Raw genomic sequence first — 26,616 nt, 5'->3', positions numbered from 1 at the left:
GTCTAAATCTTCTTCTATTCATTCTCGTTAATAGAATCTCTATGCTCTTAAATTCACAAGTTTATTGAACTGAATTTTATCAAAACTCTTGCCACCCTCTAGTCTCCCATACTTGATTGCAATCAATCAGTTACTTTCTGTGAAAATCAGTGTGCATTAGTCCCAAACATGTTAATATATTTTTGTTCGGCAACATGCTCCCCTTGTCCCTGATCCACAAAAGCTGTACAAGGACACAAAATTTATCAGTAAACATCACACACACACAAGATCTGAAATCAATATGATAAAATGTTAATATGAATTAATCCTTGGTAAGAAATTCTCATTTTGTTATGTTATTTGCTATTTGACTGGATTATAATATTTTTCAAATAAAAAAAGATTGGGGAAAAATAATATTAAATGCAATATTAACAAATTCCTAATGCATTAGAATTTGACTGAAATATTAACACTAGAGAAAAATGAATTTGACTGTATTTGGCTATTACATGAGCATGGATTTTCTTCATATAAAAGTAGAGGTAAAAGCCAGGCACAGTGGCTCATGCCTGTAATCCCAGCACTTTGGGAGGCTGAGGCGGGTGGATCATGAGATCGAGACCATCCTGGCTAACATGGTGAAACCCCATCTCTACTAAAAATATAAAAACATTAGCCGGACGTGGTGGTGGGCACCTGTAGTCCTAGCTACTCGGGAGGCTGAGGCAGGAGAATGGTGTGAACCCAGGAGGCAGAGCTTGCAGTGAGCCGAGATCACGTCACTGCACTCCAGCCTGGGCGGCAGAGTGAGACTCCATCTCAAAAAACAAAACAAACAAAAAAAAAGTAGGGGTAAATGAGAAATAAAATAGTCTTAAGTTTCAGTTTGATTCTATCAGTATTATAGAAGCAAAAATTGCAATAAACAAAGTTGAAATGTATCTGAAACATGAAAATAATGTTTGTAAAAAAACATGAAATAACAGCCAGACATGGTGGCTCATGCTTGTAACCTCAGCACTTTAGGAAGTCAAGGCAAGAGGATTGCTTGAGCTGAGGAGTTTGAGACCAGCCTGGGCGAGATGGTGAGTCCCTATCTCTACATAAAAATTTAATAATTTGCCAGAAATGGTGGTACAAGCCTGTGGTACCAGCTACTTGGGAGGCTGAGGCAAGAGGATTGCTTGAGTCCAGGAGGTCAAGGCTATAGAGAGCTGTGTTTGTGCCACTGCATTCCAGCCTGGGCAACAGAGCGAGGCTCTGTCTTAAAAATAAATAAATAAAAGATAAAAGGATAATGTATTATATTAATAGCTCTTATAAATAAATAAGAAGGGTGGAGAAAACCCAATACAAAATGAGGTATAGATTATGAACTTACAAATCACAAAAGAAAAATATAAACTGGCTAGTAACCAAGTATTAAAAATATTAAATTTTACTAGTAGTCAAATAAATACAAATTATTTTTTATCTATCAAATAAGCAAGGACAAAATATATAATATTAAAGGTAAATAATATATGCTAATCTCCATATGCAAATATTCTGAAGAAACAAGTTTTTTTAAAGCCGTGTATGCATATCACATTCATTAGGATGGCTATTATCAAAAAACGGAAAGTAACAAGTGTTAGTGAAGATGTACATTGTTATTGGGAATGTAAAATAGTGTTAGCCACTATCAAAAACAGTATTAAATTTCCTCAAAAAAATTAAACATGGAATCACCATATGACCCAGCAATTCCACTTCTGGGCGTATAATGAAAAGAATTGATAGCAGGGTCTCCAAGAGATATCTGCACATCCATGTTCACTACAGCATTATTCACAAGAACCAAGGGGTGGAAGTAACCCAAATGTTCATCAAAAGATAAATGGATAAACAATATGTGGTATATACATACAAAGAGATATATTATTCAGCCTTAAAAAAGAAGAATTCCTATCACACTCTATAATATGGCTAAACCTTGAAGACATTATGCTAAGAGAAATAAGCCAGTCACAAAAGGTAACTATTGTATAATTCCCCTCATAAATGGTATCTAAAGTAATCAAACTCATACAAACAGAAAGTAGAATCATGGGCTGGGCGTGGTGGCTCAAAACTCTAATCCCAGCACTTTGGGAAGCCAAGGCAGGAGGATTGCTTGAGCCTAAGAGTTCCAGACCAGCCTTGGCAACATGTTCTAATCCCGTCTCTACTAAAAATACAAAAATTAGCGGGGAGTGGTGGCATACACCTGTAGTCCCAGCTACTCACGAGGCTGAGGCAGGAGAATTACTTGAGCCCAGGAGGCAGAGGCTGCAGTGAGCTGAGATTATGCCATTGCACTCCAGAAAGAATTGTGGTTACCAGGAGCTAAGGGGAAGGGAAATGGCAAGTTGTTGTTCAATGGAGACAGAGTTTCAGTTTCACATATGAAAAAGTTCTAGAGATCTATTGCATAACAACGTGAATATAGTTAATATCACTAAACTTCCATTTAAAATGGTTAAGATGCTAAATGTTACATTGTATGTTTTCACCACAATTAAAAACAATTCTCCAGGTATGTCAATCTTTTAATATTATAATTCTACATTAGATTTTTTGTTTTTTTGAGATGGAGTCTCACTCTATTGCCGAGGCTGGAGTGCAATGTCACTGCCACCTCCACCTCCTGGGTTTAAGTGATTCTCGTGTCTCAGCCTCCTGAGTAGCTGGGATTACAGGCGTGCACCACCAAGCCCGGCTAATTTTTTTTGAATTTTTAGTAGAGATGTGGTTTCACCATGTTGGCCAGACTGGTCTCGAACTCCTGACCTCAAGTGATCCATCTGCCTCGGCCTCCCAAAGTGCTGGGATTATAGGCGTGAGCCACCATGCCAGCCCACATTTAGAAATTTAATATAAAGAAATAACTATTGAATATGCAAAAAGACATGGCAATAAATGATGTTCATCTTAGTTTGGTATGTCATGAAAAAGAAAGGACAACTATCGAAACCTTCAATCCAGGAGAGTAAATAGATTATGATACAGTCACATGATAGAATACTCTAAATCCATTGGAAATTATGTTTAAAATCATTGAATAGTCAAAGTTTTTCATAATATAATGTTAACTAATTTTTCTATAAACATATATTCATCTTATTGATGAGGAGAGAGGGGAGGACAGGAGAGTATTTTAAGAATAATTTTCTCAGTGTCTGTTTCTCCAACCAGCACAGGACCCTTTAAAAATATATTACCTACAGATTTCATTTGGTCACTAATCATGAGCCCATCTTTTATTGTTGCTATATATGGTTCTTTTTTTGCTACTGAATTTCTCAAATACATCTCTATTCTCTTCCTAACAAAATTGTAAAGTCTTCAAAGCCTACAAGTTCTAGCAGTATTAGCACTGTTCCCTCTGTTTTCTATTACTATCCTCCCATTACTGAATGAGGCTTGTATATAAGAAGGCAGGATCAGACAGAATGAGCATAGAAAATGAAACCAACACATATTTATTGCATACCGACTATGTACAAGACATGGCTGGGCACAAAAGATATTATTAAAAATAGAAGGTCTGGTTGTTATCTTCCAAGAATTTATTATCTTGTTAGGGAAGCCATGCATACATAACAGACAATGTAAACCCTGGATGTACTTTGAGAAGAATATGTGACTTACTTTCAATTACCAAGACATGATAAAATAAGTTACTAATACTTTTTTCCTCATATTCAGTGTAAGAAGATATAATGTAATGGCCTAAAATAAGCTAATGATTTTCTAAAGTGCTTATCTGTTATCTTGGCCATTTTATTCCCAAGTGAAATCTCAGGATAATTAAAATTCATGCCAGTTTTGGAATGTTAGGGACAGATCAAATAAGTGAAAATCTTCCAAGAGTTTAAAAAAATTCCCAAAGGGATTCATTAAAATCATACTGTCAACAATATCCAAGTATGGGTTTTTAGTTCAATGGCACAAAAAGGAAAGAAGGAAGGAGAAAAGGAAGGGGAAGAGGAAGAAGAAGGAAAGGAGGAAAAGGAAGGTAGGAAGGAAGGAAGGTAGGAAGGGAGGGAGGGAGGGAGGAAGGAAGGAAGGAAGGAAGGAAGGAAGGAAGGAAGGAAAAAGAGAAAGAAGATCCCTATTTGTCCAGTCAGGATTTGATTTCCATCATGACATTCAAATTGCTGCCAGCAATCCACCCATGACCTCCATGTTGCTAAATCTGGTTGTCATTCTCAGTCCTCAGCTTTTTACCTTTCAACAGAATTTCTTTCCTTCTTTCTTTTTTTTTTAATTTTTATTATTTTTTTTTTTCTGTTTTTGGACAGGGCCTTATTTTGTAGCCTGGAGTGCAGTGGCCCTAGCTCATGGCAACCTCAAACTTCTGGGCTCACGTAATCCTCCTATCTCAGCCTCCTGAGTAATTGGGATGACAGGAATGTGCCACCATGCCTGGCTATTTTTTAAATAGAGATGGGGGTCTCACTATGTTGCCCAGGCTGGTCACAAACTACTGGCCTCAAGAGATTCTCCTATCTTGTTCTTCCAAATTGCTGGAATTACAGGCATGAGCCACTGCACCCAGCCCCTTTCAACAGACCTCGACACCATGAAGCTCTCCCCCTCATCAAAGTACTTTCTTCACCAAGATAGCATCTTCTCTTGGTTTTCTTCCTCCATCACTGGTCATATCTTCTTAGCCTCTTTCTCTGGTTCCTGTCCATATCCCTTACCTCTTACTGGGGGAATGGACCAAGGCTCAGACCTCCATCCTCTTTTCTATCTATACTCACTCCTTTGGAGTTTGCATCTATCCTCATGACTTGAAATACCTCCTACTTACCAACAACTCTCAAGTTGTATCTCTTGCCCAGATCTCTCTCCTGACTTATATATCTTCCACTTGACACGTTCAAACTTAAATTCTTCATTCTCCCCAACAAAACCTGCTTCCATTTCCATAACAGCTGGAAGCGATTACATCCTTCCAGTTGCTCAGACAGAAACCCTTGGAGTCATTCTTAAATTCTCCCTGTTGGTTCTATCTTCAAAATATATACAAAGTCTGTACTCCTTTTATCACTTCTACTGCAAGCTGCCATCTTGACTGAGGCAACCAGCTGTCTCCCAGATTATTGCAGTAGGCTACTGTTTCTTTCCTTGCTATGCCATGTCATCCTCCCCATACAGATTACTCTGGCTAAAAGATTCACTAGCTTAATCTTTTAGAAACTTAAATTGAATCACACCATTCCTTTTCTCAAACAACTGCACTGGCTTCCCAATTCACTTCGAATTAAACCCAGATGTCTTACAGCTGCCTCCAAGGCCCTACATAATCTGCCCATAGCCCTTTCTCTGACCCTAAACAGCTACCTTTTCTAGCTGCATTTATCTTCCCTCTGCTCATTTGATTTATCCACAATTATCTCCTGGGACTTCCCTGGCTGAAGATTACCTCCTTACGGTCCTCACTTTAGCTGATTCCTATGCCGGATAGGATCTTTCCCCAGCATATCTGCTTGTTTCATTCCTTTATCTCTTTTAAGTCATTGCTAAAATCTCTTCTTCTCAATAAGGGCTTTCCTGACCCCTCTATTTCTTATTGAATCCTAGATTTAACCACTTCCCCTTTAGTTTGCTCTCCTTTTTTTCTCCATTTACAGCTGTAGTTAGTTTCAAGCATTCTATGTAATTTTAATTATGTAAATATTTATGATAATTGCTTATTGCATGCATCACCTGCCCCTACCTCCCTGCTAAAATATAAGTTTCATGAGGGCAGAGATCTTCTCCTGTTTTGTTTACCGATATATCCTCAGTGCCTACAACAACCTTTGGCCAGTAGTATACACTGAATAAATGTTTATTACATAAACAAAATAAGGCAAGGAACATAACAGCATGAGATGGAAAACAGTATCCATGCTTTTAGCCTTAGTTATAATTCATGAAATTCTGCAAAAATTGTTTCTATTCATACTGCTGTATATGGAAAAAAATCCATAGTATAAGATGATGTAAAGCCACCACAGTTTACACATGCAAACACATGCAGCAGTGATCACACAGAAAGCAGGGAAGTGATGCCTTTTGTTTAAGATTAAGTAGGTAAATAGCTTTTCTCCCAAAATTCATGCAAAACCCTCTATGAAGAAGGATTATTATTTAATAAGGAGACTCTCAGAGACCCTCAATGTTATGATACTGGAAAGAATTACTCATCATGCTACCAAAGGAGATATCTAATTTGGAAAGATCTCATTTATTCATAGATTGTTTTGTTATACATGTTTTAAATTACAGTTCTTTAAAACTTAAGCGCAAAACATGGTTCAAGTTTATCATGCACAGCAACCATAGCGATGTCCAAATCAGGGTCACAACAATAAAACTGTTTAGGATAAGTGACTCACACTGACACTATGTTATTGTCCAAATGCTTCTCCAAATCAGGATGTGTGCTTAAAATTAATTTTATTTAATTGGGTTGCATGTCCCTCTGGCCATGTAGTTACAACAGAGGGGCATCACTAGCTCTTGCTGTCTGGGTCAGTCATGTAAACGTGGTAAAATTTCTACAGGCAAATGACAGCTCTGGAACTAACTGGAGATTTACAGAAGTGTATATATCTGATTGGCACTCTCCTTTTCTTTCTGGATCTGAAGCAGCATGCCAGCTCTCCTGGGGACTGGCAAGCTGAATGCAGTGCAGACAAACCCTGCAAGCCTCAAAACTCAGAACCTCCATTTCCTGTCTCTCAGCAGCTTGGAGCAGAAGAGAGGATGGCTGTGGCAGGCTTGGTGCATGGTGTTAAAGCTGGCTGTGGAGCATCCTTTTTCAGTCTGCAGTGTAGGGCATGAGAAAACGCAGCTGACAACATGAAGCCATCACAGTGTACTCAGGCTCCAGGACTGATAACAGCGTGTCTAGATGGAGTGAGAAAAAACCAACCAATAAAGGCAGGGGCTTATGGGTAATGAGACCACCCACTAACTAATCCCAAAGTACTCCTGTGGAGAAGACTGTCATTCTCTTTTTGACTTAGGTAACAAAATGTCATCATGTGACTGGTCCCAGGCTCAGAGGCCTGGTTTTCCCTCTCTGTTCTTCCTATGTGCAATTTTTGGCAACACCCAGTCTCTTTGGGCCACATTTTTCTTTATAGTTTAAACAAAAGAGCTGAACACAGGTTTTTTTTTTTTTTTAATGCTTTTCTTCCAGTTTGAATATTTTGTGACATCACGAGACAAGTCCAATTGTGATACTCCAAATAGTGGCCAAGTGTCTCCTTCTCCAGTCTTACCCATTAAACCAAAAATGAAAAATACCATTTTGGTAAGGAAGCAATTGTTTCTGCTATTTTTCAAGAAATGCTCAACATGGCCAGCCACGGTGGCTCACATCTGTAATCTCAGCACTCTGGGAGGCTGAGGTGGATGGATTGCTTGAACACAGGAGTTTGAGACCAGCCTGGGCAACATGGTGAAACGCCGTCTCCACAAAAAATAAAATACAAGAATTAGCTGGGTGTGCCTGTACTCCCAGCTACCCAGGAGGCTGAGGCAGGAGGATCACTTGACCCTTAGAGGCAGAGGTTGCACTGAGCCGACATCATGCCACTGCACTTGAGCCTGGGTTACAGAGTGAGACAGTCAAAAAAAAAAAAAAACAAAAAAAGCTAATCACATATTCAGTGCAGGCATTAGTATATTTTTCTATCTAATATATTCAAGTCTATTTGCTTCTTAGAAGAGGTATTTATTTCCTCACCATATTACTCACTATACCGCTCTTGATTTGTGTAGCCCCTGTTGAGTCCATTGAGGGCAGGACATCTCCATCCCTAGCATTAGTTCAGCATAGAGTCCACACTGATAAATACATGTGGACTAGTATGAAGCCTTTGCAGACACACATGCACACATGTATGCACACATACAGCCAGGTAGGACATGAATTTTTGTAATAAATATACTATGATATGGCTATTTTGTCTTGTTATTCTCATAATGGGCCAAAATGGAAGTGCCTCCCATCCTCTGCCAAAAATCAAAAAAGCATTCACTATGAACATTTATTTTCAGAGAAGTGTATGATCATCTTGTGGTCCCACAGACAGCCCTAAAATTCCCCACTAGAGACGCCAATGTCGGAATGAGAACCTGGGTTTCTTAGCTTAAAGAAGGCTGCCATGATGGCTCCAAGAATTTTATTTCTTCTCTTCCCATTTTCTCTCTCTGTCACTTTCTGTTCTTACTTCATTTCCTCATTTGTATTTTGGGTTTACTACAACCAATATAAAGAAGTTGTAGTAATTAAAAAGTTAAAGATTAGCACGGGAGCTGGCTTTCATTTACTCATTATTTCAATGCAATCATACTTATTGATACCCTATGGTTCCTGGACATTGGGCTAGATGGAGGGAATAAAACACTAACAAGTTGGACAGAGTCCTCTCCTCCCAGAAATGAGATACTAGTAAGGGATAGAACCAAGTTATAGCACAGGTAAAAAGCTAAATGATGGGAGAAGGGGCTAATGTGGGAGGATTTGGGATGTGAAGGGGATCCCTTAAATGATAAACCAGAGCAGGTCACTCCTCTTCTCAAACTTTCCCAATGCTTCCTTCCCACCTTACTTATGACCAAAGCCAAAGTCCTTACAGCAACCAACAGGACTTTCTGCGAGCAGGGCTCCATCACCTATCTGACCTCATCTTCTCTTCTTCTGCTTTCCTCTTAGTTCACTCCAGCCACTCTGGCCCTTCCACGCCTTAAACACAGTGGCCCATACCTATCTCAGGGCCTTTGCACTTGCTGTTTCCTCTATCTGGAATAGTATTCTCCCAGACAGCCTCATAGCTAGACCCCTCACTTCAATCAAGCCTTGACTTTATGACACCTGCCCAGTGGGGCCTTACCTGGATTTTGCCAAAACTGCAACATCCCCACCCTCCAACATTTTATATTGCCCATCCTGCTTCACATTTATTTGTGCTCAGCTGTTATCATTATCTAACATACTATGTAATTTACCTATTTTCTTGTTTATTGCCTGACTTTTCCATGAGAAGGATAAATCCCATGACAAAAGGCTCTTTTATTTATTTTGCTCACTGTAGTATCTCCAGGGCCTGGAACAGTGCCTGGCACATTGTAGATACTCAATGAATACTCTGTGAATGAATAAATGAATGAAGGGTCATAAAATTCTTCCCAGAGGAAGTGAGCAATTGAAAACTAACTTGAAATCTAAAGAATGCGACTGAATTATCCCAGCAAAGGGAATGGAGGATGGTAAGAAGGAAGAGGAACAGGAAAGAGCATTTCAAAGGAAGAGATTTGGAGTACATCAAGATTTTGGTAAAGCTGAAGGCTAAGGGCCAAAGGTTCAATAGGAGATAACAAGGTGTGGCTAGTGAAGGAGGCTGGGACCCCATCCTGCAGGGCCTTGGAAGCCAGGCAAACAAATTTGCACTTTACTCTTACAGCAATAGAGGATGTTTGAGAAATTATAATCAGAGGACAGTTATTCTTTCTAACTAAAAATAAAATCATCATGACTAGAGTAAAAAGGGGTAAGGCTGGAGGCAGAGAGACTGGCTAGTAGGTAGAGGAGGGATGATGTGTGTACCAGAGTAGAGGTGATGGCACTCAAGAGAAGCAGAAGATTCTAGGGTCAATTAGAAGACTTTGTAATTGGTATTTATGTATATGATACAATAATATCTGATTAAGTCACAGAATTATTAATTATATGCAATAAAGATTACATGTATTTCTAGGGTGGGTCAAGAAGAGAAAGATAAGAGAGAAGAAAGGGTCAAAGGTGATGACTGAGTTTCTGGCTTGGGTAACTATAGTATCAGATATTAGTAGTATCAGACAGATATTAATTAAAGAGCATGTAGTATAAACATGGCCCAATTTTTTGACACTCCTCTCAATGACAGGTAGGGTTTGTAAACCAAAAAGTATCTGAGACAGTTCTCAATCAGTTTAGAAGTTTGCTTTGCCAAGGTTAAGGACATGCCTTTGACATTAAGATGTATGTTCCATGTCCTGGAAAGGCAGGACAAATGGAAGTTGGGTCAGTAGGGGATCAGTGCTTTCAGGTCATAGGTGGATTCAAAGATTTTCTGACTGGCAATTAGATGGGCTCTTGATAAATACCTGGAATGAATAGAAGGGAGTGTCTGGGTTAAAGTAAAGGGTTGTGGAGACCAAGGTTTTTATTACACAGATGAAGCCTCCAGGCTTCAGAGAGAACAGATTGTTTTAACGTTTCTGTTTCAATATTAACGCTGGTCAGTTGTGCCTCAATTCCAAAGGGAGGATGGTATAATGAGGCATGTCTGACTATCCATTCCCATCATGGCCTGAACTCATGTTTCAGGTTAACTTTGGAATGCTCTTGGTTGTGAGGGGGATCCATTTAGTTGGTTGGGGGCTTAACATTTTATTTTGCTTTACAGGTCCTATGTCCCTTCCTCTTAAATTTGGGCAGAATTTGTGACTTCTTTGTCCAACAAAATATCGCAGAAGTGATGCTGTACCAGACTGAAAAAGAGTGGCAGTTTCTAGCTGTGGTATCTTGGATCCAAAGAATCAATGACCCCATACAACAGACCCAGTAGAGTTCCCAGGAAACAGCCAGCACCAGCCATGTTGGTAAGATATCTTGAAAATAGATACTTCAGCCCACTTGAGCCACCACAGCTCACACCACCTGGAGCACAGTCAAGCCTTTTCTGCTGAGCCCTGCCCAAACTGCAGATTTGTGAACCAAATAAATAATTGCAATTGTTTTAAGCCAATAACTTTTAGGGTGGTTTGTTGTTAAAAGCTATGGATAACCAGAAAAATGAGAAAGAGTCAACAAGAAGAGAAATTGTCATGATTTTTCTGTGTGAAACCACACAGGGTTAAGCAGTTGTGGTTGCCTAATTATTCCTACTCCATGGGATATCACAGGAAAGAAGAGAGTGTGCTTTACTATGGGGTTACACTGTTATTTTGGGATGATCCTGAAAGGAGTTAATTCTGATCCAAACTAACCAGAGAACTGACAGAATATATTACATACTTAAAGATCATACTTTCATTTTGTTTGAACCACTGGAGGGAATCCAATCCCAAATTAATATAACAAAACCAGAAGCTTGCTTAAAAAATATTTTATCAGATTCCAAAGTTGAGCTTGTGGTAGGGTGTACTGGAACCCTTTAATAGGTACTCTAGTAAAGACATTCTTTTCATTTTGTAAGTGAACAAAAGAAGACAGAGTGAGCCTCTCTGGAAGTGCCTAAGTTATTGGTAGACATTGTCCCTATATTAAGTTGGAGATCAATAAGGCTCCAGATCAATATCAGAGCTTCATGTCAGGGGACACTATATGCATGTGACAGATGCAGCCAGGTAGGAAAGGAAAGTAAACAACTCTTTGTTTTTATTTAAACTACTTTTTTTTTTAAGTGAGTCAGATATAGACAGTTCATTTCAAGTGCTAGTATTCAGAACTGGAATGTGAATGGGATTAAAGTAGTTTTATTAGAGAAAGGGGAAGCCCAGAGGGAAAAAGGCATGAAAAATTCACTTCAAAAGCTGACATTAGTCCGACATGCTTACCACAGAGCCAGAAACCATGTAGGTAGACTTCAGCTAAAGGCTCTATAAACCCAAGTATTATTTCTATTATCATCCTAATCACTGTCTTCATTGAAAAGGAAGAAAATACACCCACATTGTAGACATAATGTTCAAATTATGCATGTGCCCTGGAGCTTAAGAAAGGTTAGATATGTCTCTTGGTTTTTCATGAATCTAACTTAGAATCACCCATTCAGGCTATTAATTACCAGCATTTCCCACATGTAATTACAGACTTTTTAGGAAATGGGTTGTTGCATATTTCTCTACCCAAAGACATGAGAGAGAATCTTACTCCTTTGTGGTATTTAAAACATGTTAGGTCAATGGATAGGTAAGTGATTCAAAGGAAAGAGAAACAGTATTACCATCATTACTCATGACCAAGAATATGATGTGGCCTCTGTTTCATGAAGATGAATTAATTCCAAACACCCCATCACAAAAATGTGGCCATTCTCACCACTTTTATGGCTTATGTAAGAGGGCATGTTGGTGTCTCCATAATATCAGCATTGGTGGAATTGTTTCTTACATCTGTTACATAAGGTCTACATACTTAAGTCCTTCTTGAATATAGTTCCAAGAGTAATTTTATCTTCAGGGAGCGATCTAAACTTTATTTTTAAAAAAAATGGAGATAATGCAATCCAACATATTTCCTTTGGTGACCTGAAATCTTACAGCCAGAATCAATGCCGTACTCTGATCTATTCAACTTAACGGTCTGAACGCCTTTCTGCTTCTTTAGAATGATCTTATTCATCTGTTTTAACCTTAAATGGTTTTCCATCTTTAAACTATTCAACCAAATAGCATTTTATTGGAAGGAGCAAAGAGAAGGGATGAGTTGGGAAGAAGAGTAAATCTTCTGTATCTCAACAACCCAACTTCCCAATCTATTTAGATAGTTATTTTAGGGTTTTTGTGTGTCACAAACTGAGTATTCAGCTATTCTTACGGAGGTTACATAACAGGTATAAAACATGCTTCTTCCCTTCAGGGAAGTACCTTTTACATCTGGTTGAGAGATGACACATGTAAAGACAAAGATATATCTAGTAAAATAAGGAAGTAAAATTTTCAAACACTGCGATGATAAAAAGGGGAAGAAAAATTCAGTGAGTGCACAGGGAATGGGATAGTTGCAAAAGCATCATTCATTCATGTCTTTACTCATCAAATATTGACAATGTTTGCCATGTTTCAGTGACTGGGCCAAGCTCTGGAAAGTCCATCACAAGTGAGAAGCAAGGCATAAACCTGGCTATGGCAGAATCTCAAAATTTGTGGGATAAGGGCATGACTGCCTGAGCTTGACTCCTTACTTTGACACTTATTAAAGATGGTTCCTGTAGGGATTTGTTCATGTGACTTGACATTTCTGTGCCTCAATTTCCTCTTTTATAAACAGACATAACAAGAGTTAATTGTCTTTTTAGAATTGCTGTGAAGATAACATGCGTGAACATATGCAAATGTTGGCCCATATAAACACTATACAAATAGAAGTCTACTCCTGAGAAATTAGGGGGAGACAGGCCAGGCAAGAGGTAAACCTAGGTAGCAGGGACTTGAATTGGATCAGAATTTCCAGGAACTTCCCCTGGTCCCTTTATTGACTTAGACTTAGAGGGCCCTGGTTCTGGGAAAAGGTGGGGCACATGCATCTCAGCCAGAACTCCTGAGGAATGTTCCACAGTGCTCAAACACAAGTGCAGGACACTACTCTCTTAATGCCACTGTAGAGTATGGACAAGCTTGAGGAGATGCCAAAGCCTGTCAGCATGAAAACCAAGTCAATATATGACCCTCTTCTCACTGCTTGGTTTTCTCAGCTGACTGGCAAGAGAGCTACCCCGAAACTTCTTGAAGAGGCCGTGTGTGGGGTGCCAGGCTAGGGAATTTATGAATTACCCCATTCAATTCCAAGCAATAAACCTCAGAGATAAGAACAGTGAGTCTCGTTTTATAGATTTGAAGTCTGAGGCACAGGGAAGTCAAGTGCCTTGTCAGTAAGAAGGTTCACCAGCTTTTATTTTGCCTCTTAGACCTAGAGACCAAGGCTTGTTCTAGGTTTGACCTTTAAGTCAACAGAGGTGGTAGAACTTTGAGTCACAGTATTTGATATCTAGTATGGTCAAGCCCACCAGAAGAAGGGAATGCATGAAAGAACCCAGGCTGACTGGCTCCAAAACCTATGGATCTGTAATTCCAGCAGGAAGAGAATGGGAGAAGATCCCACTGACAAGGGCCTAGCAGGAATTAATATTTTCCTTTCCATTGCAACATCCTCTCATTCCTGATGAAGAATTGTTAAAAGCAACATGTATTGCACCTCTTCCCTCCTCAGGGTAGGCCATGTAGGCCCTAATTGGGGGATTTGCTTTCAAGGACTCATGCACAGGCATTACACAGGCTAGTGACAAAGGTCTTGAGGAGTCACGCAGCTCTCCAACCCTCCAGGACCACTCAGGCAGGGATAGGGGCACTGTGATTGCAGCTGCCCACGCTGGGCGGCAGTAGCTCCCAGCAACAAGAGGCCACTCTGGCCCAGCAAACTCATCCCCTTTGTGGAGGGAGTTGTGTTTGTGTTCTGAGGCCCAAAATCATATACAAAATAATGCATGCCATTCCAAGGCATAAGTTAGACGGTTCCACCAGTTCTTTTCAGTTTGTCTTTAAAATCTCTGATTATACAACTTTAATTTTTGGCCTCTCCTCATTGGTCATTAGAGGGAGGCTGACTGCAGCTGAAGGGTGTTTTGCCACATAGCTGTAGATAAGCTAAATGCATGAATTCTTCTGAACCTTGAATAGTGCTGAGCAGAGGATTTGGGGACCTGCCCTCACACTCTTTAGAGAGGTCCCTGTGTTTTAGCCATGTCAGATGCAATTAGGTACAGTTCATCTCTCTTAAGTTCCTCGGGGATTTATTACGTGGGCTCTTGAAGGTTTCCCTTTCAAATGGCCATAGATTTTATATCCAAATCAGTGTGCAGTGATCACTCTCCTCCTAGCTTTAACTCATGGCAATTATGCCTCCATGGAAGTTGAGAATGTAAAGAGTAGAAAAACAAATGTTGCTCTTTGAATTGTCACATGAAATGCAGCAGAAGATAAAATTGATTTTGTAACATATCAGGTGATCAGAGGCTGTGTTGGCAGTGAAGCACCCAGCTCCCATGCTCCCTCTCCCCAAAACTGTGGACATACGTATCTTTTCTCATGATGGCAACAAGAGACTCACTTCTATCTCAGATCCTGTCATGACACTGAAAATGAATTGATTCTGCGTCTCAAGTCAGAGCTGGGCATGATACAATTTGCTGAGATCCATTGTTCTGCTTTCCACCAGTCAACACACAGTTTGTATATTTCTCATCCAAAACGAAAGCACGATGCATACTCTGCTCTCACGAGGCTAAAAAGAGCCAGGGGTTGGATTTGCACAAGTTTAATTCCTACTAAGATTTGCAAAAGATAATTTGAGAAACACATAGACTTTGTAGCTTTGAAGGAACTTAAAAATGACTTTCAACAACCTCTGTCCATTTGGAAACCCAGGTGTATTTAAAATTATTTTCGTAGTTTGTTTTTAATCATCAGTTTTCATGAAAAGAACCAGATTACTATGCTCTTTTAAAGCACTAATTTGCTTTAAAAAATAAAAAGAGAGAAGCACAATGACCAATTGTCTTATGAATCAGAGCTATACTCTATATATGCCACCATTAACTCAACAGTTTGTGATGAAAGAACAATGTAACCTCATCATATTCTCTAACAGTGCTGAGTCATTTCTCTATGAAAGGACTAACAAAGCAGGCTTATGTCTCATCTTCTCTCAAGCAAGTTTAGCCACATTATTACAGTATTTCACCTCTATAGCCTCTCCATTTTCCTCTGAGTCATTGTTTATCTCTTCCATAATCTAACTGGAAAAAAGTAAGTTAATCTCAAATGTCAAATCTATATGTGTATACCTTTATGTCTGAATTTCAAAACTGACTAATGTCAACATGAGTGAACCAATCTGAACACTCTAAAAGATAGGTCAAATTCATGCTAACTTGGAAGAATACTTTTTTAATATTAACCCAAAGAATTTAGGTATACAGATGACATACATTAAATTTAGTTAATAATCAACTCATTCTTTTTCTGTCCATGTAAACATGAATCAGAATGGGTTGTTAGTGAATGTAAACAACAAAACTATTCACCTACTTATTAATTTATTCAGTGTGTGTTTGCTGAACCTGTACTGTGTACAAGGTTTTAATTACGCAATGCATAAGGGTGAAGATAAAAAATACGGAGCTCACAGTCCATTTGTCAGTACAACAGAGATGAGTAAGGTGAAAACCACAGAAGCACAAAATAGTGTTATGTGATAATCAGAGAGAAGAGATTACATCTGGCTGAAGCATGCAGGAAGTAATTAGAAAGGGTCATTTAATGAAGGTGGGGTATTAAAGATGGAAAGAATAGGTACTCCAAGTAGAAAGACAAAGGTATCAGGGCAAAGAGCTAGAGATAAGAAAGCCTGGGCAACATAATAGAAGCAGCCCATTTCAGATGGGCCTTTGAACTGGAAGAGTGTAATTTGAGCCTGGAAGGGCATGTTGAGTTTAGACCATGGAGAACCTTGAAAACTAAATTAAAATTCTGCTGGTTAATAACTAGGATAGATCATATTATCAACTCGGCCAGTAAACTATTTAAAAAAATAAAAGAATTCATCCAATAAATTATTAGGTAGAATTGAAAATGTTCTTTTGACTATTTCAAATATTTTGCTTTTGTGTTTTAACTAATTTAAGCAAATGATATGTGTTCATGGTTGTATGCTCTATGGTCCCCTATCCTGAGTCTATCTCTATTTTGTAATGTTTCTCTATATAACATTTATTACTTCTCATCAAATGACTAATAATTCTTATAGTTTTACTTTAAAGGCATCTGACGTCAAACAATACATAAAAGAGAGGACATAGACTCCCTAACAAAAAAATATGAATGTGCCCCAACTAATCATGCTTTGACACTCTTGATGTAGTCTTTCATGGAGATGTAGCATTTCCAGTAAATCTTATGCAAGGTCTCAGATTCTACCTTTGCGTACAAATGCCATACAGGCCAAGTAATATTTTTAGGGTTTAAGGATGTTCTCTTTCTTCCCTTCTTCAGACTAAGGAATGTAAAATGGCAAACCCTCTCAATGCTTACACACATTTGGCTCTGAGTCAAGTTGAAAGCAAGATGCTTAGACTATTTACCATTTTACTTCACAAAGGAATTCTCTTTGATGAATGAAAGATCTTTGCAAAATTACGCTTACAGGTATGTTTATAAAGTTGTGTACAAAAGAAGAGCCAGTGTAACTATTCTAAAAACTTGAGGAAAAGGGACTCTTCCCTAACTCCTTCTATGGAGCCAGCATCACTCTGATACCAAATTCTGGCAAAGACACAGTGAGAAAAGAAAACGACAAGCCAATATCCCTGATGAACGTAGACACAAAAATCCTCATCAAAATGCTAGCAAACTGAATCCAGCAGCATACAGAAAAGTTAATTCACCATGATCAAATGGGCTTTATTCCAGGGAGGAAAGGGTGGTACAACATATGCAAATGAATAAATGTGATTCACCACACAAACAGAACTAAAAACAAAAACCATATGATCCTCTCAATAGATGCAAAAATAGCTTTCAATAGAATCCAACATCCCTTCACGATAAAACAAAACAAAACAAAACAAAAAAACCTCAAGAAACTAGGCATTGAAGGAACATACCCCAAAATAACAAGAGCCATCTATGACAAACCCACAGCCAATGTCACACTAAATGGGCAAAAGCTGGAAGCATTCCCCTTAAGAAGAGGAACAAGACAAGGATGCCCTCTCTCACCACTCCTATTCAACATAGTATTGAAAGTCCTAGCCAGAGCTATCAGGGAAGAGAAAGAAATAAAAGGCATCCAAATAGGAAAAAAAAGTCAAAATGTCTCTCTTCACTGATGTAAGATTCTATACCTAGAAAACACTAAAAACACCACCAAAAGTCTCCTAGAATTGAACAATGACTTTAGCAAAGTTTCAGGATATAAAATCAATGCACAAAAATCAGTAGCATTTCTACACACTAATAATATTCAACCTGAGAGCCAAATCAAGAATGTAATCCTACTTAAAATAGCCACCTGAAAAATAAAATACCTAGGAAAATAGCTAACCAAAATGTGAAAGATCCCTACAAGGAGAACTACAAAAGCCTGCTGAAAGTAATCACAGATGACACAAACAGATGGAAAAACATTCCATGCTCATGGATTGGAAGAGTATATATCCTTAAAATGGCCATTCTGCCCAAACACAGTCACTGCTATTCCTAACAAATTATCAACATCATTTTTCACAGAATTAGAAAAACTGATTCTAAAATTCTTACAAAACCAAAAAGGAGCCTGAATAGCCAAAGCAATCCTAAGCAAAAAGAACAAAGTCAGAGGCATCACATTACCTGACTTTTAAGTATATTGTAAGACCACAGTAACCAAAACAGCATGGTACTGGTACAAAAACAGATGCATAGGCCAGTGAAACAAAACAGACAACCCAGAAACACAGCCACACACCTACAACCATTTGACATACAACAAAGTTGACAAAAACCATTAAGAGAAAGGATTCCCTACCGAATAAATGGTGCTGGGATAAGTGGCTAGCCATATGCACAAGAATGAAACTAGACTCCCACCTTTCATCATATACAAAAAGTAACTCAAGATGGATTAAAGATTTAAGTGTAAGACCTCAAACTATAAGTCCTAGAAGAAAACCTTGGTAATACCATTCTGAATATTGGCTTTGGCAAAGAATTCATGACTAAGTCCTCAAAAGCAATTGCTACTAAAACAAAAATTGACAAGTGGGACCTAATTAAACTAAAGACCTCTGCACAACAAAAGAGGCTATCAACAGAGTAAACAGACAACCTACAGAATGGGAGAAAATATTCACAAAGTATGCATTAAACAAAAACTTAATATCCACAATCTATAAGTAACTTAAACAACTGAACAGGCAAAAAACAACCCTATTAAAAAGTGAAACGAGGACATGAACAGACATTTCTCAAAAGAAGACATAAAGCAGCCAAAAAATATGAAAAAAAGATCACCCTCACTAATTATTACAGAAATGCAAATCAAAACCACAGTGAGATACCATTTCACACCAGTCAGAATGACTATTACTAAAATGTCAAAACAGAACAGAAGTTGGTGAGGCTGTGGAGAAAAGAGAATGCTTATACTTTGTTGGTGGGAGTGTAAATTAGATCAATTTCTAAACTGTAGAAAGCAGTTTAAAAATTTCTCAAATAATTTAAAACAGAACTACAATTTGACCCAGCAATCCCAATACTGGATATATAACCAGAGGACAATAATTGTTATACCAAAAAGTTCACCATAGTTCTATTCACAATAGCAAAGACATGGAATCCATCTACGTGGCCATCAATAGATGACTGAATAAACAAAACGTGGTAAATATACATCATGGAATACTATACCTCCATGAAAAAGAATAAAATTATATCCTTTTTAGCAACATGGATGCAACTAGAGGTCATTATCCTAAGTGAATGAACACAAGAACAGAAAACAAAATACTGCATGTTCCAACTTATAAGTGTGAGCCAAACACTGGGCACACATGGACATAAAGATGGAAATAATAGACATTGGGACCACTAGAGAGGGGAGAAAAAGAAGAGTAAAGGCTGAAAAACTACCTATTGGGTACTAAGCTCACTACTTGGGTGATGGGATAATATGTACCCCAAACCTCAGCATCACACAATATGCCCATGTAACGAACCCCCCAAATCTAAAATAAAAGTTGAAATTATTTTTAAAAAGAATCAAAATACTTAAATGCTTTCCAGTAAGAGGAACTTTGAGAAAATAAAGTGGATGCATAAATTTTGATGAACAAATTCCCAAATAGTCTTTTTTGAGACAGAGTCTCACTCTGTCCCCCAGACTAGAAGGCTGGAGTGCAATGGCACAGTCTGGGCTCACTGCATCTTCTACCTCCTGGGTTAAAGCTATTCTCCTGCCACAGCCTCCCAAGTAGTTGGAACTACAGGCACGTGCCACCACGCCTGGCTAATTTTTGTATTTTTAGTAGAGATGGGGTTTCACTATGTTGGCTAGGCTGGTCTCGAACTCCTGACCTCGTGATCCGCCCACCTCAGCCTCCCAAAGTGCTAGGATTACAGGCATGAGCCACTGCGCCCAGCCCAAATAGTCTTTTCTAAATTGAAACCATCAACACACAAAGTCAATATATCTCTTTTGTCTAAAAATTCAGTGTCATCACAAGAAATATGAAACTTTGGCCAGGTGCAGCGGCTCATGCCTGCAATCCCAGCACTTTGGGAGGCCAAGGCAGGCAGATCATATGAGGCCAGGAGTTTGAGACCAGCCTGGTCAACATGGTGAAACCCTGTCTCTACTAAAAATACAAAAATTAGCCAGGGGTTGTGGCGCACACCTGTAATCCCAGCTACTCAGAAGGCTGAGGCATGAGGATCATCTGAACCCAGGAGGTGGAGGCTGCAGTGAGCCAAGATTGCACCACTGCACTCCAGCCTGGGAAACAGAGTGAGACTCTGTCTCAAAAATAAATAAATAAATAAATAAATAAATAAATAAATAAATAAATAAATACAACCTTTTTTGTTCATGTTATTGGACCATGTGCAAATTCCTTGTTCTGTGCCAGAACTTCTGTCATTTCTGTGCTTATACCTTGTGATAGTTCACAATGATGATAACCTGAAGCAAAATTATTTCTATCTTGCTCAATGCTTGCTTATTCTAATATAAATAAAATGTTCAATGATGACCTATAAAGTTTGTTTGTGAATTTAGTAATCCAATGAAATTCACCTTTTCTCCCTTGGTAGCTTTGAATTTTTTTTTTTTTTTTTCTTACCAGACCTCACCATCAGTTCAAGTTGTCTGCAGTTTACAAAAAGAGGAACAAATACACTCTTAAAAAAGGACAGCACCTCAATAAATAAATAAATAAATAAATAAATAAATAAATGAATCTCCATTTGATACTGCCTTCCTGAGACCCTCAAGTCACAGATATTTCTTTACTGGTTCTGTGATTTTTGTACAATTATTTTTTTAAAAATTATGCAAATGTTATGAAAGAAATCTTTCTTACCAAAAGAGAATTAAACAAAGCTGTTTCAATACTTACTTTAAAAAGACAGATATAAATATATTCTCCTAATAAGTGTTAGAGATAGGCAAGCTTAAAGCAATATTATTATCTGGCCTAACACGTCTTTACTTTTAACAGATTGCATTCAATTCCAGAAGTTTCTAAACAAATTAGGGTTGACTCAATTGAACACAAAATTAAAATAGTTCTTATCTGTTAAAGTACCAACATCAATCAATGTTTAATATGCTATCCTGAATAAATTTGTATTTTATTATTTTATTTTTATTTACTTATTTATTTTGAGACAGAGTTTTGTTCTTGGTGCCCAGGCTGGAGTGCAATGGCGCAGTCTCAGCTCACTGCAACCCCTGCCTCCTGGGTTCAAGCGATTCTCCTGCATCAGCCTCCTGAGTAGCTGGGATTAGAGAGGCCCGCCACCACACCTGGCTAATTTTTGTATTTTTAGTAGGGACAGGGTTTATGTTAGCCAGGCTGGTCTTGAACTCCTGACCTCAGGTGATCTGCCTGTCTCGGCTTCCCAAAGTGCTGAGATTACAGGTGTGAGCCATTGCACCCGGCCCTGAATAAATTTTTAGAAACAACTGATTTATTTACATGTTTATGCATTAATGAGATTTTCCACCTCAAATCCCATCATCTGAGTCTGGAGCATTCCATTTTCATTTCAATTCTCAATAAACAAATGAAGGGCAATTTATAAAGGCCTACACAGAGCCTCAAAGATCAAGCTACATCTAGCAAAAGTCGACTTAAAACACATGTAAACCTAGTGATGTATCCAAGTGACTGTAGTTGCAGACAGACAATATTCTAAAAAGAAACCTAATAAAAGAAAATGAAATTTATCTGAGGGGTTCTTATGAGTAGAAAGTCATAATAATAAATGTAAGTATAATACCAGGAAGACTCAATAAGTTTAGATGATAAAAACATGTATTGAACTTTTACTACATTCTGTGCATGCGTTGAGCACATTTGATATATTAACTTATTTCCAAATATGCTACCCTTTCTTAGAGTTTTTGTGATATTGTCAGGCTTTGTGTTCCCACCTAAATCTCATCTTGAATTGTAATCTCCATATTCTTCATGTGTCAAGGGGGAGACCAGGTTGAGGTAACTGAATCTTGGGGGCAGTTTCCCCTATGCTGTTCTCATGATAGTGAGTGAGTTCTCAGGAGATCTGATAGCTTCATAAGTGTTTGGTAGTTCCTCCTGCATTCATTCTCCTTCCTGCTGCCTTGTAAAGAAGGTACCTTGCTTCCCCTTCCCCTTCAGCCATGATTGTAAGTTCCCTGAGGCCTCCCCAGCCATACTGAACTGTGAGTCAGTTAAACCCCTTTCCTTTATAAATTACCCAGTTCTCGGACAGTTCTTTACCACAGTGTGAAAACAAACTAAGTCACTTAGTGATGAAAATAATAATGATAATGGGTAATATTCCTATATTTTTTGCTAATTTTCAGGTATTACACTAAACCATTTTACTTGTGTCAAATCTAAAATCCTCAAAATTATCCTATAAGATGCACTTACCCTCATTTTACAGATCTAGAAACTTAGAAGCAAAGAGGTTTAATAAAATACCAAAAGCTATTCATACCACTAGCCATTTTCCCCTCGTGAATGATGACTCTCTGATTACTGAAATGGTAGAAGGGCAACCTGGATCCCTGTCAGACATCATGTGAGAGAAACTGTCTAGCTGTTTACCCTTTTTTTCCCTCCTGAGCACGTAGCTAATTTTCCTAGCCTCCTCTGCAATTAGAAGGGGTCATATGACCAGAACTTGGCAATAGCAATGTGGGAAAAAGTGACAAGTGCCACTCTGAGGTTTAGCCCATAAAAATTTGCCATAAAATCCTCCACTCTCCCTCTTTCCCTTTCTGCCAACTAGTGTCAATGCTCACAACAACTGCAGAAACCATGAGTTGAAAATGGCAGAGTGGAGAGTTCTGTAGATGTCTATCAGGTTCATTTGATCCAGTAATGAGTTCAGATCTGAATATCTTTGTTAATTTTGTCTCAGTGATCTGTCGAATATTGTCAGTGGAGTGCTAAAGTCTCACAATATTACTGCGTGGGACTCTAAGTATCTCTGTGGTCTCTAAGAACTTGCTTTATGAATCTGGGTGCTACTGTGTCGGGTGCATATATATTTAGCATAGTTAGATCTTCTTCCTGAATTGAACCCTTTACCATTATGTAATGCCCTTCTTGGTCTTTTTTAATCTTTGTTGGTTTAAAGTCCATTTTGTCAGAAACTGGGATTATAACTCCAGCTTTTTTCTGTTTTCCATTTGCTTGGTAGATTTTTCTCCATCCTTTTATTTTGAACCCGTTTGTGTCACTGCATGTGAGATGGGTCTCTTGAAGATAGCATATCTATGATCTTCTTTCTTTATCCAGATTGACACTCTGTGGCTTTTCATTTGGGGTATTTAGCCCACTTATATTCAAGGTTAGTATTCACATGTATATATTTGATCCTGTCATTATGTTGTTAGCTGGTTATTTTTCAGACTTGTTTATGTGGTCATTTTATTATGTCACTGGCCTGTGTACTTCAGTGTGTTTTTGTAATGGCTAATAATAGTCTTTCCTTTCCATATTTAGTGCTTCCTTCAGGAGCTCCTGTAAGGTAGGTCTGGTGACACTGAATTCCCTTAGCATTTACTTGTCTGAAAAGGATCTTATTTCTCCTTCAATTATGAAGTTGAGTTTGGCCATATATGAAATCCTGGGTTGGAATTTCTTTTATTCAAGAACGTTAAATATTGGCCCTCAATCTCTTCTGGCTTGTATGCTGAGTTTCAGCCGAGCGGTCCACTGTTAGTCTAATGGGCTTCCCTTTATAGGTGACCTAACCTTTCTCTTTAGCTGCCTTTAACATTTTTTTCTTTCATTTCTGCCTTGGAGAAGCTGATGATTATGTGTTTTGGAGATGATGTTCTTGTGAAGTATCTTACTGGGGTTCTCTACATTTCCTGAATTTGTTGGCCTTCCTAGCTAGGTTGGGGAAATTCTCATGGTTGATCTATTGAAATATGTTTTCCAAGTTGGTTCCATTCCCCCTATCTCTTTCAAGTATACCAGTACCATTCAGGACATAGGAATGGGCAAAGATTTCATGATGAAGACACTAAAAGCAATTGCAACAAAAGCAAAAATTGACAAATGTGATCTAATTAAACTAAAGAGCTTCTGCACAGCAAAGGAATCTATCAACAAAGTGAACAGACAACCTACAGTATGGGAGGACATTTTTGCTAACTATGCATCTCACAAAGGTCTAATATCCAGCATCTATAAGGAACTTAAATACATTTACAAGAAATAAACGAAACAACCCCATTAAAAAGTGGGCAAGGACATGAACAGACACTTTTCAAAAGAAAGCATACACATGGCCAGCAATCATATGAAAAAAACCTCAACATCACTGATCATTATGGAAATGCAAATTAAAACCACAATAAGATACATCTCATGCCAGTCAGGATGGACATTATTAAAAAGTCAAAAAAAAAATAATAGGTCCTGGTGAGGTTGAGGAGAAAAAGGAAGACTTGTACACTGTTAGTGGAAGTGTAAATTAGTTCAACCACTGTGGAAGACAGAGTGGGGATTCCTCGAAGACTTAAAGACAGAAATTCCCTTTGACTCAGCAGTGCTATTACTGGTTATATACCCAAAGGAATACAAATCATTCTATCATAAAGACACATGCATGCATATGTTCATTGTAGCACTATTCATGATAGCAAAGATACAGAATCAACCTAGATACCCATCAATGATAGACTGGATAATGTGTCATATATACACCATGGAATACTATGCAGCCATAAAGAAATGAGACCATTTTCTTTGCAGAGACATGGATGGAGCTGGAGGCCATTATCCTTAGCAAACTAACACAGGAACAGAAAATAAATACCACATATTCTCACTTATAAGTGGGAGCTAAATGATGAGAATACATGGACACAAAGAGAGAAACAACACACACTGTGGCATATCGGAGGGTAGAGTGTGAGAAGAGAAAGAGATCAGGAAAAATCACCAATGGGCACTAGGCTTAATACCTGGGTGACAAAATAATCTGTACAGCAAACTCCCATGATACAAGTCTACCTATATGACAAACTTGCACATGTACCCCTGAACTAAAATAAAAGCTTAAAAAATAGCAGAGCCTCCATGAGCCCTGGTTCCTGAATGGTTGTATGGTGCAGTTACTGCCGTCTTCCCAGCTGCTCTTTAAATTTGAGGTGAACGAGACATAAAATCTCATTGTATTAAGCTATTGAGATTTTAGTGTTTATCTATTATAGCATGTAGCATTTACTTTAACTAATAATGGCTGCTCTCTACAATTTAGATATTTATGCAAATGGCAGATACTACTTTACCAACAATGAAGAATCCAATTTCTTCAAATTATTCCTTGTTGAGAAAAGGGGTTTGGCTTTCCCATCTAGCTGTAGCAGTCAGATCCCCTTAAATGCTTATTTACCATTTTAAATTTCATCAACAAGAAGATTTATGCAAGATAAAGAAAGAGGGAGAGAGGTTGACAGCAACCCATTGCTCCTGTGCAGGAATAGGCAGCGCCACGGCTTTGGTGAAAATCACCTTTCACAGCACTGCAGGAAGCCTGGACATCACTAATGATTTTGTGGGTTTCCTACACTTTCCAGGGTCTCTGAAAGCTAATGACGGCTTTCCTTGAGCTTTGATCCTCTAACACTTCCAACAGTTTTAGAAATACTTCATTGATATATAAAACCCCTTCCAACTTAAACTCTAGAGAAGTTTCTGTTTCTCTGATGAAACTCTAACGGATACAAAAGAATGTTCTTCTCAAGGCAACCAATCTTTTGTTACTGCCATTCAAATTATTTTTTCTACTCTAGCACATATTTTCTCCAAAGGTGGCAGTCAAATGCATCTCAGACTATAAATATACATGTATTAAAATCTCACTCAACAACAACCATCAACACAGGACTGGCTTCACGGGTATGTGACCTGTGCTATTGCACAGGACCTGTGCTTAGAAAGGGCCACTCAAGGTTTGGTGCTCTGTTGTGACCTTTTAGTGCTCTGTTGTGATCTTTTGGAGTTCCTGATAATTTGTGAACAAGGGCCCCACATTTTAATTTTGCACTGTGCCCTCCGGCTTACATAGCTGGTCCTGTATCAACGATAGTCCTTGACCAAGAACCACAGGAGAGATATGCAAAGAAAGATATCCAGGTGCTTTAACATATTTTGCTTCTCCAGTTCAATATGGCAATACATACAGTCTCATTCTGCACCCACTTTCGACATACCAATACCACCCACACACTGCCTGTAACCATGATGTTTACTTTATTGAGTTGAGGAGGAGCTATCAGAATGTGATCTGTAATATGTTGAAAGGAAAACACAGCAATTTCAAATTTTCTGATGGTACTGAGGATCCATTTGTGAAAGTAAAGACATTTGCATTTGGGAAAAGGGAAAACACCTTAATGATTCTAGTCCAGTATGCAAAGTTGGGCCCTAGACTCTAGGCTGGAATAGAATTTGAAAGCTCAAGTCATCTGCTTAATAAAATAACAAGGATTTTCTTATTGTAGTGGCCAATAGTATGGAACTAGAATCTGGAACAGGAGACATGGGAGGCCAGGCATGGTGGCTCATGTCTGTA

At 38.4% G+C, this 26,616-nt stretch overlaps 1 protein-coding gene and 1 long non-coding RNA gene across 5 annotated transcripts in view; one reads left to right on the top strand and one right to left on the bottom strand.

The window, feature by feature from the left end:
* The window catches only part of MACROD2-AS1 (MACROD2 antisense RNA 1), a 45,266-nt gene extending 34,464 nt beyond the window's left edge, over positions 1-10,802 (top strand). Inside the window, exons 2-3 of one of the 2 annotated variants that reach the window (NR_037841.3) lie at positions 6,751-6,959; positions 10,461-10,802. This is a non-coding gene — a long non-coding RNA (MACROD2 antisense RNA 1). The remainder of the gene's footprint in view (positions 1-6,750; positions 6,960-10,460) is intronic. The other variant, NR_110318.1, reaches the window with a different exon arrangement.
* The window catches only part of MACROD2 (mono-ADP ribosylhydrolase 2), a 2,057,682-nt gene that overhangs the window by 1,158,143 nt on the left and 872,923 nt on the right, over positions 1-26,616 (bottom strand). The window lies entirely within an intron of this gene.

The sequence above is a fragment of the Homo sapiens genome, chromosome 20 (genome assembly GCF_000001405.40).
Source record: "Homo sapiens chromosome 20, GRCh38.p14 Primary Assembly".
NCBI classification, from domain to species: Eukaryota; Metazoa; Chordata; class Mammalia; order Primates; family Hominidae; genus Homo; species Homo sapiens.
This window is presented reverse-complemented; position numbering and strand designations above follow the sequence as displayed.